The sequence below is a fragment of the Homo sapiens genome, chromosome 2, assembly GCF_000001405.40.
Source record: "Homo sapiens chromosome 2, GRCh38.p14 Primary Assembly".
Taxonomy (NCBI): Eukaryota; Metazoa; Chordata; class Mammalia; order Primates; family Hominidae; genus Homo; species Homo sapiens.
The window spans coordinates 125,774,580-125,789,930 of NC_000002.12; the positions used below are offsets into that span (position 1 = coordinate 125,774,580).

At 36.8% G+C, this 15,351-nt stretch overlaps 2 long non-coding RNA genes across 4 annotated transcripts in view; one reads left to right on the plus strand and one right to left on the minus strand.

The window, feature by feature from the left end:
• LINC01889 (long intergenic non-protein coding RNA 1889) overlaps positions 1-15,351 on the plus strand; it is an 82,638-nt gene that overhangs the window by 63,630 nt on the left and 3,657 nt on the right. The window contains exons 2-3 of one of the 2 annotated variants that reach the window (XR_923294.3): positions 10,345-10,386; positions 11,578-11,722. This is a non-coding gene — a long non-coding RNA (long intergenic non-protein coding RNA 1889). The remainder of the gene's footprint in view (positions 1-10,344; positions 10,387-11,577; positions 11,723-15,351) is intronic. The other variant, XR_923295.3, reaches the window with a different exon arrangement.
• Positions 1-15,351, minus strand: part of LOC124900611 (uncharacterized) — an 85,494-nt gene that overhangs the window by 48,717 nt on the left and 21,426 nt on the right. Inside the window, exon 1 of one of the 2 annotated variants that reach the window (XR_923297.3) lies at positions 720-796. The exons of the other annotated variant lie outside the window; for it this stretch is intronic. This is a non-coding gene — a long non-coding RNA (uncharacterized LOC124900611). Of the gene's footprint in view, positions 1-719; positions 797-15,351 lie in introns of those variants that run through there. 2 annotated transcript variants of the gene reach the window in all.

Here is a 15,351-nt window from a genome sequence, read left to right on the forward strand (position 1 = left end):
TCCCACTCCTTTTTTAAAAAAACACCACTAGTGTGTGTTTTATGCCGGTGTGATCTTTCTAAAACTAAGTCTGAGGAAAGATTGCCTTGCTCTTCCCTCTCAGGGGCTACCCATCACCATGAAGTGGATCACTCTGTCCTGTCCTCAGAGACTATGGTTATGAGACTTCAGAGAGAGCATCTGTGAGTGTCTAGAAGCCAGAGGCCAGCCCACCTCTCTAGCTTCACCCAGCAGCATTCTTCCCCATCACAGAGCACACACAAACAGGCATAGGCACATAAACAAATTCGAAACTGTTTGCAGAAACACATGTACATACTGAGGCCTTCCATCATACCACCTGCTCTCTCTATGCTTTAAATTATTTCTCACAGCATCCCCTACTTTCCCTGTGGCCTCAGCTCCCTTGTCAATATTCAACCTCCTCTCACAGCCATGCTTTCCATCCATTCTGCCCAGTGTCTGGATCCCCGAAAACAGTGGCCTGCTAGGTATGAGCGGAGAGCAGGTCCCAAACAAAAGCCCAGAGGTGGAGCTTCATGTGCCGTGTTATGTATACACTTGTGTGTATATATGTATGTATGCACATGCTCATGTGTGCTGATGCCAGTGAGGAGCACTGATTGATGAAAATGGAAAGCCTGTCTTTGGAGAAGATTGATCTCCATGAATCCACTTAACAGTAATCACAAATTCCACTGGATAAGCAAATACTTTACTCTGACAATTGCTCTTTTCCACGTCTGATGCTGCCTGAGGCCCCGGGTAATGCGGCTTCTCACTGGCCTGGTGTTGCCTTTGTTTTGCAGGGAATATGTCCACTCCTTCTCCTAAATCTGTGATGGGAGTGGATGGCTAGGGCACAGTGGTCATGGGTTGTGAATGCTGCTCTTTTCAGGTGGATCCTAGGATGAACATGGAGCAACGCAAGTAATGTAGTCTCGGACAATTACAGACATCAAATTGAAAGCAATATTTAGGTTCATCCAATTAACCTCCTTCTACAAATAGAGAACCAGGTCCACCATGCTAATGGTATCATGGGACTAAGTCATGTTGCCCCCCTGCCTGCTGCACTTGTGTCCAGATAACAGGCAAGCTTTGTCCCAAAAGAGGTCCTTATTGAGGAAAGGAGATGAAAATGTTGCATTGGATCATGAGCTAATAATATTGGAATACACGCAACAGTTACTAAGTTCAAAGATCCTAGGGCTCTCAGGTCAAGGGAGGCTGGGCCACCGGGAAAGGTGGATTTTGACTTGTTCAGATTGTTTTCTACTGTAGTAGCCAGAGTTCCTCTGCATGTTTCCCTGTTATTCTTACACTGTTGAGTTCATGTGGTCCCTTTGTTTTTTGTTTTGTTTTGTTTTGTTTTGAGACAGAGTCTCGCTCTGTTGCCCAGGCTGGAATGCAGTGGCGCGATCGATCTCCGCTCACTGCAAGCTCCACCTCCCGGGTTCACGTTATTCTCCTGCCTCAGCCTCCCGAGTAGCTGGGACTACAGGCGCCCGCCACCATGCCCGACTATTTTTTTGTATTTTTTAGTAGAGACGGGGTTTCACCGTGTTAGCCAGGATGGTCTCGATCTCCTGACCTCGTGATCCGCCCGCCTTGGCCTCCCAAAATGCTGGGATTACAGATGTGAGCCACTGTGCCCGGCCATGTGGTTACTTTTTATAAAAACAAACTGGTTCCCATTCCTTCTGCATATTCTGAAATATTTTATCTAAATACTCAGAGAAACTCCATTTTTAAAAAAATACTTTTCTTACTGGCTAAATGAGCTAGACTACTATTGTTTAGTAAAGGTAGCTTTATTCTTTTCAATCTTCTGGAAAAGAAAGCAAAGTATTCAGCTAGGAAAGTACATATAAATTTAAAAGGAAACAGAAATTCTATATTTTAAGGTGGGACACAGGTTGTCAAACTGTCTACTCCAATCGGAGCTCTGATCCTTTCTATTTAACTAATTTATTTATTTATTTATTTATTTTAGAGACAGGGTCTTGCTCTGTCACCCAGGCTGTAGTTCAGTGGCACAATCACAGCTCACTGCAGGCTCAATCTCCTGGGCTCAAGTGATTCTCTTACCTCGGCCTCCTGAATAGCTGGAATGACAGGCGCACGACACCATACCCAGCTACTTTTTTTTTTAACGTTAGTAGAGATGAGGTCTCACTACATTGCCCAGGCTTGATTCTTTATTTTTCACACGAAATGTTGAATGTCATAAAGCCCCAGGTCTACACCAAAACACAAGATGGGTCCATCTAAGCCTGGGGGTTGTGGAGGCAGAGAGAAATGGGGAATGACTGTAATGGGTATAGGGATTCCTTTTGGAGTGATGAAAATTCTAAAGTTATATTGTAGTGATGTTTGCACAACTATGAGAACATATTAAAAACTGTTAAATTCTACATTGTATATTGTTGAGCTGTATGGCATATAAATTACATCACAATAAAGCTTTTTTTTTTAAAGGAGGTATCTTTGAAATTCACATGCATAGAGACCAACAGCACTAGGTTGAGACAAGCACTATTCATGTTTCTGATAAACTCCAGCAGTGTTTTATAACATCGTAATTTTCAGTAACTATTGTTATATACCATTTTTCATCTACGAAGCTGCCTCCAAGTTGTAACTGACTTCATTTAGCCATTGTGCCTTTTCTATGTGAAGTAAATACATACAATACAAATTTCCCTCTTCTCCAAGTCACCCCAGATTTGAAACCGGAGGGAAGAAGTGATCGCATTTAACATAAGTGGTTGTTTCAACAGCTGATATATAGTTACACATTTTTAAGGGCAGATAGTTCCATCTACTTCCATATGTGAGTGTTCTCTTTTAACCAAATTTATTGTTTGGTTACAATAATATCATTTACCATTATTTCAAAATTATGGATGGATTGTAACAAACAGCAGATTGTAATGAGCTCACATAAATAATTGTTAGGTATTGCATTAATTAAATGTTGCAGAATTCTTTTCTTTTTGTGTGTGTGCCTGCCTCATTGTGCCAAGAGATGGTATCTACTGTTTATTAAGCAACAGTAAATGCAAAGAAGTGATGGTGATAAATGGTTTTATAGAAATTCTCAATATTGTACTGTCACTTGTATGTGACTCGTGAGTTTGCATGAATAATGAATATGGTGAAATGGGATTTGTTACCCACATTTTAATTAAACGTAAGATGAAAGACCACAGAGAAGGAAATATTCAGTAGGGGTATGATTTATGTGAATTATCAGCCCTTTATATGGTGGGATTTGAGAAGCAGTGTGGTCTGCTTACTTTCATTTTGCTGTTTGGCCTGTGTCAGTGTGAAGCTCAATATCGCTGAAGCTGTTTTATCAATGGCAAGTTAATTAACCTCTCTGAAACAGTTTCCAAAGATTCAACAATAAAAATAAAGCAATAGCCTCCTGGAGTTGTTGTCAGGATTACATAAAATAATGAGTCCAAGATACCTATGACAGTATAGTAGGTGTCAAAAAAGGTGAGTTGGATTTCATTAGAAGGCTGATCCCAGGGGTGTTCTTTGTATGAGGTAATTTGTCTCTTCTACAAATTACAATGTACTTGAAAGGCCATCATTAAGTCTTGTCTCCTTTTTGGGTCTTTAAGTCATTTTAATTCAAAAAGTACCCTAAAGAGTTCCCCTAAAATGTGGGGAAGTACACGCATTAATAAACCAGTGGTGATGGTATAAATTAAAATATATTTTCTAGAATAAATTAAAATATATTTCTAAAATATATTTTCTAAAATTATACCCAAAAATGATTTGGGTATAAATATATTTAGTATATATTACATGAAAAAGTATATTTTAAAATATTTATTATAGGACATAACAAGACATGTTGATAAGGATTTAGGCATAAATACGGTAACCACTGCATTGTTTGTAATGTAAACATGTAGGAATAGCTGAATATCCAACTATAGGGGAAGAGTTAAATACATTTCAGTAGTTCATTTAGCAGCCATGCGCTCTCTAGCCCCATGCCTTTCTTCACACTTAGAGCCAAAGCTGAGAGAGAAGGAATGTAGGAAACCACGCCTGCCTTTGACTGGACCAAGCAGAAACCACAAATCAAGGTGTTAAGCACACAGGAAGAACATCTTTGTAATAGTTATTGGGTTATTCTCAAGATTACTGCCTCTACTGGAGAGCTTCAGAAGCAGTGGAGACCTACACGTGTATCTACATCTATGTCTATGTCTATGTCAATATCGAGAGAGAGAGAGAGATGATGAAAAGACAGTTATGTATAAATTGATATATAAAAGCTTCCCTCAGATTTTATATTTATAAAACTATTTTGAAAGTTTTATTTATAAACTTTTTCCCAGTGTGTCTAAGATAAAACTGCTCTGAACTTTAAGACAGATTCCATATTGAGATATTATTTATTGATGCTTTGCAGACAACAGAGAAGACCTATGAGGTAGGCTACTGTAAAGACATCAATCTATACACTGTTGATTCCACAGGTGTAATTATTGCTCCAAAGCTGCTACTAACTGCCCATGTACACAGAAAACATATCTGAGCTCCACACTGGTGAGAATCGTGCCATAGCCAGTTAAAATTATACTTTGTCCTGATGATTTGTTCTGAGTAATAGATATTTCTACCTAAATGTAAGATTAGAAATGGAAATAAAGGAGGGGTAGAATCAGTTATTTAGAAGTTGTTTTCTCCTCTGTTATTTTCATTTACTTATCAATTTTAAATATATAAGGCATTTAAGGCACTAAAGCCATCAGTACCTTTCTGAGAATGAGTTTCAGAAATTCAGCTTTATAACAGCTATAAATAAACCTGTTCTGGGCAAATAAATTTTATTATGGCAACTAAATAGTGCTTCGGTGTTAATTTATATTTCCAAATTGATTCTCCCAATTCAGTATACTTATAACTAATTTGTCCTGCAGAAAGGTTATTTTTAATGTCTGTTTTGTATTATTCATGTAAATTTTCTATATTAATGTATACATTCATAAATACAAAAATACTCATATGACAAAATATTATACAAACATATTAAACTGCACACAATAAGTGAAAATAACAGGATTAATGATTTAAGGGTAATATGTAAACTGTATAAAATACATCATGCATATACTGAGAAATGTTACAAGTAAACACACAAAAATAATAGCTATTGCCTTTATGAAGAAATTATGTTTTTTAAAATGTTTATATCAATACTTTTTTTCATTTTTCATAATTTTGATAGTGAGTATATGGTAGTAAAAGCCAAATAAAATACAAGTACTTTCCTTTAGTTGTGTCGTGAGAATTAAGTATGATTTTTCATGTGACAATACCCATGATAGCACAATGCTCAATGAATGATGGGGCTCAATGAATGCTCCTTTTCTCAGATTATATTTGAAGAAAATCAGGATCATTTCTTTCTTCAACATATCTTTTCCACAGTCTTTCATAGTTCTTGAATTTTCACCATTGTGAATTTTCCTGTTTGAGTCTTGAAGTTTTTAAATGATGAGCAATCCTATAGCAATTCAATTTATCCTGGGATGAATCCAGGATAGGAAAGAATCTCCAGCAACTTCTAGTTGATTCCTTGGCATCAAGAATGAGTTCCCCATCAGCTGAGGAAGAGTCTGACCAGACTTCCTTTCCCACGGCTGTCAAGTCAGTGTTTAAAGATTACCCCTCCCCTAAGGGTACTCCTGAAACTGGCCTAAACAGTCCAAATTATCACCAAGAGAGAGCTTTCTTTGACTTAAATGGTTATCTCCTGCTAAAATGTAATTATTCTTCTAAAGTTCTCATGAACTTATTATAGGTCAGATGCACTTAAGTGCAAATGAATTGTGGCAGAGTAAAACTGGCCTGAAATGTTGTTGGGCCTTCGCCAGGGAGGGCATTAGAAACTGGACACATTTCATTCCCCTTGGATTTCCTTCATATGCTGAAGTTGGAAAAGAGGCGTATTAACTTTAGAATAACTACTGTAATTTAAAATTACTACTCCACTTATACTTTCTGTAATCATCATGACAAGACTTCAGGGCAACTATTATTATTATTATCATTACTATTGTGAGTTTTTATATTGTTATACTACCATCACAGAGACTGAGACATCAAGAGTTTGGAAAACTTATCCAAGTATTAAGTTCACATCTCCTGTTGCTTAAACTCCCAGGTCCTCTAGGGGCAGAAGAGAAAATAGATAAAAGCAGTCATTCCTAGAACAGTTGCTGTTCTCCAGGATTCTCAATGTTGGCTACATCTTGCATGTGCAGCCCAAGAAGGTGCATGGGGAGAGTCCCTTGCTAACTCACACTCTCTAGGATGTCAGCTGCACACATCACACGCTTCTTTCATTGTTAAAATATGTGTAGGTCTCTCCTGGCTCCAGGCTCCTTCTTTATTTCTACACTAGTCAGAAAGTGTCCTGACATTGATCAAGAGCATTTATCATGATAGAAGTTTCCAATGAGAATTTGGAAAAAAAAATTAAAAGTGACTTTTGTTTGACCTTCTCCCTTCTCTGTGCTGATATTTTTGGATGACAAGTGGGGAAGATGGTTTTTATTTTTCAAGCTAAAATTCAAGGGTTTAAGTGGATCTCTGCACATGTAGTACATTGTTATCATACATACCTACATAATGTTTACATAATGTCTACATAACATCTACATACATATCTCCATAATGTTTTTGCCTGTGTGTGTGTCTTTATAGCTCTTGGTTTCTTTGTCTATTGCTGTATCTCTCTATGCTTTATTCTTTCTAGTATTTGCCTATCTAAGTCTATTATAAGAGGTGAACTGTTGTAGTGAAAGGCAGACTCTGAAGCCAAAATTTCTGAATTTGAGTCCCAGATCCATGACTTCTATGCTGTGTGCTTAAAATAGTCTCTGTAACATCACTGTTAGGTGATAGCTATTGTCATTATTATTAATCATTATTATTAATATTTGTATCTACCTAAGCCAGTAGGTGTGACTCGCCAGAATTCTTATTTTTTTTTAATAAATACATCTCTGCTTATACCTATTGTGGAACAGGGGCCACTGTCACTCATGTGAAAATCAGTTAGGCCTGTGATTTGATTTAACCTAGCTGCAGAAAAACAGAGGCAGCAGATTTGAATAGACTTTGTTTCCTTCCCTCAGTTGTATCTTATTAGTATGTCACATACTTCAATTTCAACTGTTCTGAAAGTCAGCTACCTATCTATGAGCAATCTTTCAGAGCTACTCTATGTAAATATCATATATATGAAGTACCATATCTCTTAAGTTGGATTTCCCAAACACTTTCTCCACGTTGGTGGGGAATGATTCTTTGAATGGCTGACTGCTGACCACCCACAGGGGTCTGTTCCAGGCTGCCATGAAGTGCATGTAACCCATGCTACTTAGTAAGTCACATGATGATTGCTTTACTTTATTCATTCAACAAACAAATTAAATGCTAACAAAAAGAAGATTAAATTATAAGTTAAAATGTTTACTAACATAAAACAATACCCCAAATGAGGTGATACAAAAGTAGTCAAAACAAAACAAAAAGAGAACTTTCTTCCTGTTCTAAATTATAGTTGACCCTTAACAACATGGGAATTAGGGGTGCCAACCCTCCTTGAGGTCCAAAATCCACATTAACTTTTGATTCCCCTAAAACATAACTATGTATAGCCTACTGTTGACCAGAAGCCTTACCAATAACATCAACAGTCAGTTGACACATGTAAGACTAGTATCTATTTATATTGTATGCATTCATGACATAGCTAATGTTTTCTTAATTTTTCAATATTTCTAGGCTATGTGGTTTGTCTAAGAGTTTTTCTTCAAATTGCTGCAAATCTCAAAAAAATTCAACCATATTTATTGAAAAAAGTATGTTTAAGTGGACCTGTACAGTTCAAAACCATGTTGTTCAAGGGTTAACTGTAATCTCTGCTCAGTCCAACATTATTTACCAGCACCAACACATTTAGGTGATAGTTTTCTTTTATATTTTAAACACTATCCACTGATGTGAAACTTGTCCCTTCTTTCTTTGTAAATGTTTATTTCTATTAAATATAGAAACAAGAATTTATATAACACATAGCATTAATAATAATAGTAACACCCATGTGGCTGCATAAATTTTATTGCTGCATAACAAACTACCCCAATACCTAGCACCAAGAAACAATCACATTATGCTGATGACTCTATGAGCAGGAATTTGGGCCTGATATAATGGGGATAGCTTGTCTTTGTGTGCCAATGTCTGGAGCTTCCTCTGGGAAGATTCAAAGCTTGGGAGTAACATAGCTTTGGTCTGAACTCAGAAGAATAATCAGTAATTTTAAAGACTGGTGCCTGGGCTGGGAGGACTCAAAGACTATAATTGCTGAGTGGAGCACCTACAGAGGGTTTGGCTTCCAGACCTCCCAGCAGCCTCTAGGTCATCACACTTTTTGCACACAGCAGCTCAGAGGTCCCACAAGCTCTGTAGTGAACAGGGGAGAAGCTGCAGCTCATTTTCTGACCTCATCTTGGAGGTTTCAAAAAAAATGCTATTGGTTGAAGCAGTCCCAAGTCTACCAAGTTTTAAGTGTAGGGGATCCATAACTCACTTTTTAATATGAGGAGTGAAAAAGTAAGAAGAGCTTGTTGGTTGGGAGATATTGTTGCAGACGTCTTAGTAAAATACCCACCATCCAGCTCACAAAACAGAGAAAGATCAGTCTGTCTGAATTATTCCATGATTAATTTCTCTTCCCTTCCAAAGAGGAAACAACTTTTTCTGTGAATCTCCCCTTAGCTGTTTTTTAATCTCCAAATAATGTATTATTTTGCTTTTTCATTTATTAATCTGTGTTAACTTTGTTAAAATGGTGGACGGTAGTTTTAAACATGCCTGCAAATTCTGTTTTGCATGAAAAAAAAGAGTTGGAGTCAAACCCTTGTTCCGTGAATATGAGCTGGTTTACAGACCTGCTTCCAATAAATTGAATGTGGAAGAAATGGACAGTGTGATTTCTAAGGCTAGTTCATAAAAGGTGATGAAACTTCCACCTATCTTTCTTGGAACATATGTTTTTGATGCCCAGAACTGTCATCTAAGAAGTCCAGCTATCCTGCAACCACTGTGCTAAAGACGTCATGTAGAGAAACCACATAAAGATGGCTGAGATGACCAGCTATACAGCTCTCGGCCATTTGAGTCTTTTAAGCCCAGATATCAGTCACGTGAGTAAGAGAGCTGTGGAGTTACTCAAGATCTAGTCATTGTTATAACTGCAACCTTATGAGAGCCCCTGGGCAAGAACCACTGAGCTAAGCCCAGGCAACCGTCAGTACTGTGAGGGATAATAGTGGTAAATAATTGTTATTTTATTAGTTCATGTTTGGTCAAAATTCCTCCACAAAAACATTGGATCTGATACACACACACACACACACACACACACACACACACACACACAATATAATATATATAGGAGTAGATTTTTAAACTATTTTTTAAATTAACTCCATGTTAATTGGGCTTTTTAATTTTCTGTCTGTACTGGGGTAAATTTTTCAAGTTTTTTTTCTACACATTTCTCCATTTCATCTAGTTTTTCAAATGTATTTGGACAAATTTTTCTAAATTTGTATTTTCTTTGTCTTTTATAATTTTATTGGTATTTTCCTTTTACTTGATTGTGTAGCTAATGATTTTCACACATATTTAAAGAGCTTTGCTTACATTTATTTATGGATTATATTTTTTAATCTCTCAAATTAATATTTATTTACATATTTATAATTTCCTTTCTTCTTATCTCATTTGCTTTACTCTTTCATTATTGTCTGAATTTTTAGGGTTTCATACACTTATTTTTACTCCTATTGATATAGCCATATAGTGCTAAAATATTGGAGCTAGAGATAGGTATGTCACTATGGCATAGATTTCTTACTGTGTTTTCATTTTCAAACTTTAAACATTATGAATATTCAGTCTGTGTTTCACTTTATTTACAGATGTCTAATAGTATGTTATATTATTTCCAGATTTATTATCTTCTAAAAAATAGAATGTTGTAGCACATTGTCCTGTGGTCAGTCAAGAGTAATATTTTCTGGTATACTACATTTTAATAGTCAGATAATTCTATCCGCATTACTTTTATTCTTTGGAATTTATAGCAGTATTCTTTCATGCTATCATCAATTTTCATTAATATTTCTTGTGTATTTGAAAGAAGGTATATTCTTTATAATTTGGGGTACAGATTTTGATGTATGTCTAAAAGATTCTTTTTTATTTCTGTTCCTATGTCTTCGATATCTTTAGTGATTTTATTTGCTGTTATTGAATGCCCTGAATTTAATTAAGGTAAGTTTATTAAAGTCTATTATTAATATGCTTTTATATATTTATTTTTACATCTTCTGTAATTTCTGCATTATGAAAATTATTTCTCCATCTTTGAACAAATAAATATTTAATATTTTCATTGTGATACTTTAACATTCCAAAAGGTCCTGTCTCTGATAACTCTTTTAGTCTCAATCTTCTTCATAGATCATGACGGAGAAACTACTTTCCTTTTGTTTTCTATGCCTCATATACCATTTTTTTAACCATTCTGTCTCTTTCCTTTATGTGTATTTCCTGCACAGTGTTTGATTTTACTTTCTAAGCAAATCTGAAAATGTTATTTTCAGTTGGTGAGTTTGACCCATTTACATTTATTAGTGTGATTAATATGCTTGCCTTCAGGTTTTTTAAATGTTTTCATGTTACAGTCTCTATATGAATATATGTATACACAATAATAAACCTAGACACTCACACACAGACACACACAAAATACACACATATATTATATATATTATTTCACTATGTAATCTACGTGGTTTACCTTTGTTCATTTTTGGTTTTTATTTCTATATTTAGGAAGCTATTGTATCTAGATTTTTTTTTTTTTTTGAGACAGTGTCTCACTCTGTAACCCAGAATGGAGTGCAGTGATGCAATCTCGGCCCACTGCAACCTTCAAGCAATTCTCCTGTCTCAGCCTCCCAAGTAGCTGGGACTACAGGTGCATGCCACCACGCCTGGCTAATTTTTTGTATTTTCAGTAGAGGCGGTGTTTTACAATGTTAGCCAGGATGGCCTTGATCTCCTGACCTTGTGATCCACCCGCCTCAGCCTCCCAAAGTGCTGGGATTACAAGCGTGAGCCACTACACCCGGCTAGATGTTTTTTCATACATTATGTTCTTACAGATTTCATTTACACTAATATCCTTATAACCCTCTTTCTCTATTTCACTAGACCAATAGATGCGGACTAGTGGTTTCCTATTATGAGTAATATTGAAATGAGCAATAATGAATGCTCCTTATTTTCCTCCCTTAGCATCCAATTAGAGACTACATTTCTCCTCCAGTTAATACCTATAAGCCAATTAGGGAGCTTATTCTACTTTCAAGAGTACAGAACATTTGCTTTTTATGAGTATTTGGTCATTCATATTTACCCAGTAAGTATTTTTTCTTTATTTCTTTGTTTTGAAATTAGTCCTCTCTTACACTTTCTCGCTTCTCTGAAGCCACTCAGAAGGGGAGACAGGTGGCAGGACGCACAAGGAATTTTGCCGCACTGGGTTGAAAAGCATCATGAAAGCATTTCAGGTTCTTTGGCAAGTGCCTCTGTTCCCTCCAAGGTAAATCGTGAAGAACACTAACAATCTCTATTAATGTTATTCAAATTGGTTTCAGTAGGCTGTGATTCCATATTATGTTAATTAGCTTGTTTTAAAATTTGTTTTCTAAATTAATCCCAAAAGCAGTGAGTTACGGAAGGATATATGAGAGCCTTTAAGACTCTGAGGAGTCTTAAATAGGCTAATGTATGTAGTGAATCTCCAAGAGTAGGATTTTGCATCCAGTATACCACAACGTTATATGACTATGAATCCTCTTTCTCCAAAGTACTCACTAACCTCTTCCCAAAGTAGTGTTTTATGAACATGGATTTATAGAGGCTGGTCTCCATCAGGAGATTTAAGAGATGGCATGATAAAGCCACCTATTCTGTATTCCATCTGTGAAACAGCAGAACTCAGATATTCTATTGAGAGGAGGTAAATGATATTCTTTTCTGAACATTTATTTGTATCTTTTGATTTTTACTGGGGCTGAGTAACTTCTTGGAAAGTAAAATGTTCAAACCCTTTTAACCTTTTCTGTATAAATATTGTCTCAATCAAGGTTTTGTGCTCCAAGTAAGAGAAACTGACTTTAATTGAGTTAAGCAAAACAAGAAATGTATTAAAAAGCCATTGTAACTCAAACACTGATGGTAGTCAGGAAGCTGCATTTGGTTAGCTAGCAGAAATCACAGAAGACCTGGATGCTCAAGAACGTAACACAACATCCGGTTGTTACTAGAAGTTGTCTGGGCAGTATGCAGCCACCACTAAGCGAGCACCACTGCCCCTGCACATTCATACACCATGAGTTCTAACCAGCCTGTGTCTCACTTAACTCCTGATTCTACATCTCACGGAGGAGTGTTCGGTTGGCAAAGTCTATGCTGCTATCTGTCCTTTATCTTTGCTGGTAGAGCTAAGAAGAGAGATGGCTTGGCTCCTGGAGCCTTATGATGGTGGAGGATGCCTGGCTTTCACCAAGGATGTGGTTCTGTATTTCCTCACAACTTTCTGTTTAAGCATTTGGACGCCAAACGAACAAACAAATATACAGTCAATTGTCCTCTGCAGATATATGCAACTATATCTGAAGGATTTGGGGGATCTGACAAAGGCCTTATTATAAGAAAGGGCATGAAAACCCTCAGAGAAATTTTATTAAGGAATATTATCAAGTAAACCAAATGCTACAACTATTCATGAACTTGGAGAGTACCATTGAGAATATTTGAGATGGAGGCTCCATGAGAAATTAGACTACATAGTTAAGTAGGTAGTAGTTCATAGTTATTGAGATATGGATGTATGTATTAACACGTGTTAATATATCCATGTGTTAATACATACATCCATATCCATTTTTCCACCCAAGGCTGTGAAATATAAAGAATAGTTTCTAGGGGCCAGACACGGTGGCTCACCCCTGTAATCCTAGCACTTTGGGAGGCTGAGGTGAGTGGATCATCTGAGGTCAGGAGTTCGAGACTAGCCTGGCCAACATGGTGAAACCCCATCTCTACTGAAAATACAAAAATTATCCGGGCGTGTTGCCATGCGCCTGTAATCTCAGCTACTCAGGAGGCTGTGGCAGGAGAATCGCTTGAACCCGGGAGGCAGAGGTTGCAGTGAGCCAAGATCGCGCCATTGCACTCTAGCCTGGGCAACAAGAGTGAAACTCTGTCTCAAAAAACAAACAAAAGAAAACAAAACAGTTTTTAGAAAATGTATTCAGTCACTAATTCCCTCATTTATTTATTTACTTGTTAATCCAATTATTCAATCTGTGAATACTGTCAAGAAGATGAAAGACTATCTTTGAGGAGCTTGAAGGAGCTGACATGAAAGCACGTCATTATAACAAGATGATACATGAAAGGATGTATTGAACAAACATTTATTGAGCACTGTTTATGTGCTATGCATCTGGGGCATACCGATATTCAATACTTTGTGATGACTCTCAAAGAACCCCAGTTAATGATGGAAATAAATGCCTAAATAAGTGCAGTAATTACAGTCCTGTGTGGAAAGTGCAATAATAGGAATACAGACAATGTTAGCACAGAGATGATTTAATAGACTCTAATGCACATTAGAACAAGTACTTGGCAATTATTAAGTACACTGGATGAAAAATAGTAATAATATTTTCTAATTTGTCAGGTTAAAAATTTGCTGATTCTAATTTTCTTTTCCCAGCAAATTGTCCCTTTATTGAAAACATTATCTGGCTTAATTCCCCATATTATAAAACACTTTACCATTAAATAGCCTTTAGTCAGCAACCTGGGATAACTTCAAGTTACCCTGGGAGAAGGAATTACATTCAGGAATTGCATTTGCGATTTGGTATTTATATTTGTGTTTAATGGAAAAGGAGGCAATGAAAGTATTTAAATAAATAATATGCTGTATTGTATTATTCTCAGTTTTCATATTGCCAAGTATAGAAATAAAAGCCCAATTTCTTCTCAGTCTCAATTTGCTCACCTTATTCATGCACGGATTCATTTGTTTCTTCAATAAATACTTACTCTGTGTCAAGCCTATGCTGGACCCTGGTGTTACAAAGAAGAAAATAGCATAGACCTGGATTTGAGGTTCTTAAAAATTACTGCAATATTAGGTGATTAAATACAATAAAAACAGTTTGTTTAAAGAATGAGCACATAGGGTTGGGTGTGGGGTTCACTCCGGCAATCCTAGCACTTTGGGAGGCAGGTGTGGGAGGATCACTTGAGCCCAGGAGTTGCAGGGTGCATCAAGCTATGATCATGCCACTGTACTCCAGCCTAGGTGACAGAGTGAAACTCAAACCCTATCTCAGCAACAACAGCAACAACAACAACAACAATGTGCACATAGGAAGCACAACTCTTCATGGAGGAGCCCATATTTGTAAGTTTATAGCAATAGATCAGAACCATGATGACTTTTCATTGCAGAAGTCAGGAAAGGAAGAAGAACTTACAAAACTACAAGTAGGGGCAGTGTGTAAGGAGCAAGACAAATGCTTTTTTTAGTGAAACAATCACTTAACTGCATAAAATTATTTAAAAATAACAAACCAAACCAAAACAAAAGCAACACTTAGTCTCTGGAAATTTTCGTAAGGGCATACAGCAATTGAGACACAAATATTCAACAAAATCTACTAAATCTTTGTAAGAACAGTGAGTCTGTGTAACAAATTGCCTCCCAAGTCAGTGTGACAAAGCTCTATTCTGGGTAAGTGTGGCTAAAGACTCCAGGTTCCCACTCTTACCAGCTGCTGGTCTAGAGCTACAGTGGCAAGTGACTGTTGTCCCAGCTACTGTGGAGTCTGAGGCAGGAGAATCACTTGAGCCCAGGACTTAGAGGCTTCTGTGAGCTATGATTATGCCACTGCACTCCAGCCTGGGTGATAGAGGAAGACCTTGTCTCTAGTAAAACAAATCAAAATAAAATAGAGCTACAAATTGAACCCAAGAAGAGCTAGCACCAGCTTCCCTCACCCCACCCCAGCTCTGTCCTGAAAATTCTCTATTATTTGAGGCTGCTTTGGCCAAAAGTACTGAGATTCCCACACAATTGTAGAATGGCAATGATAACTAAATTAATATAGACTGAAAATATTCCTTATCAAAATTCCAGCTTCCATT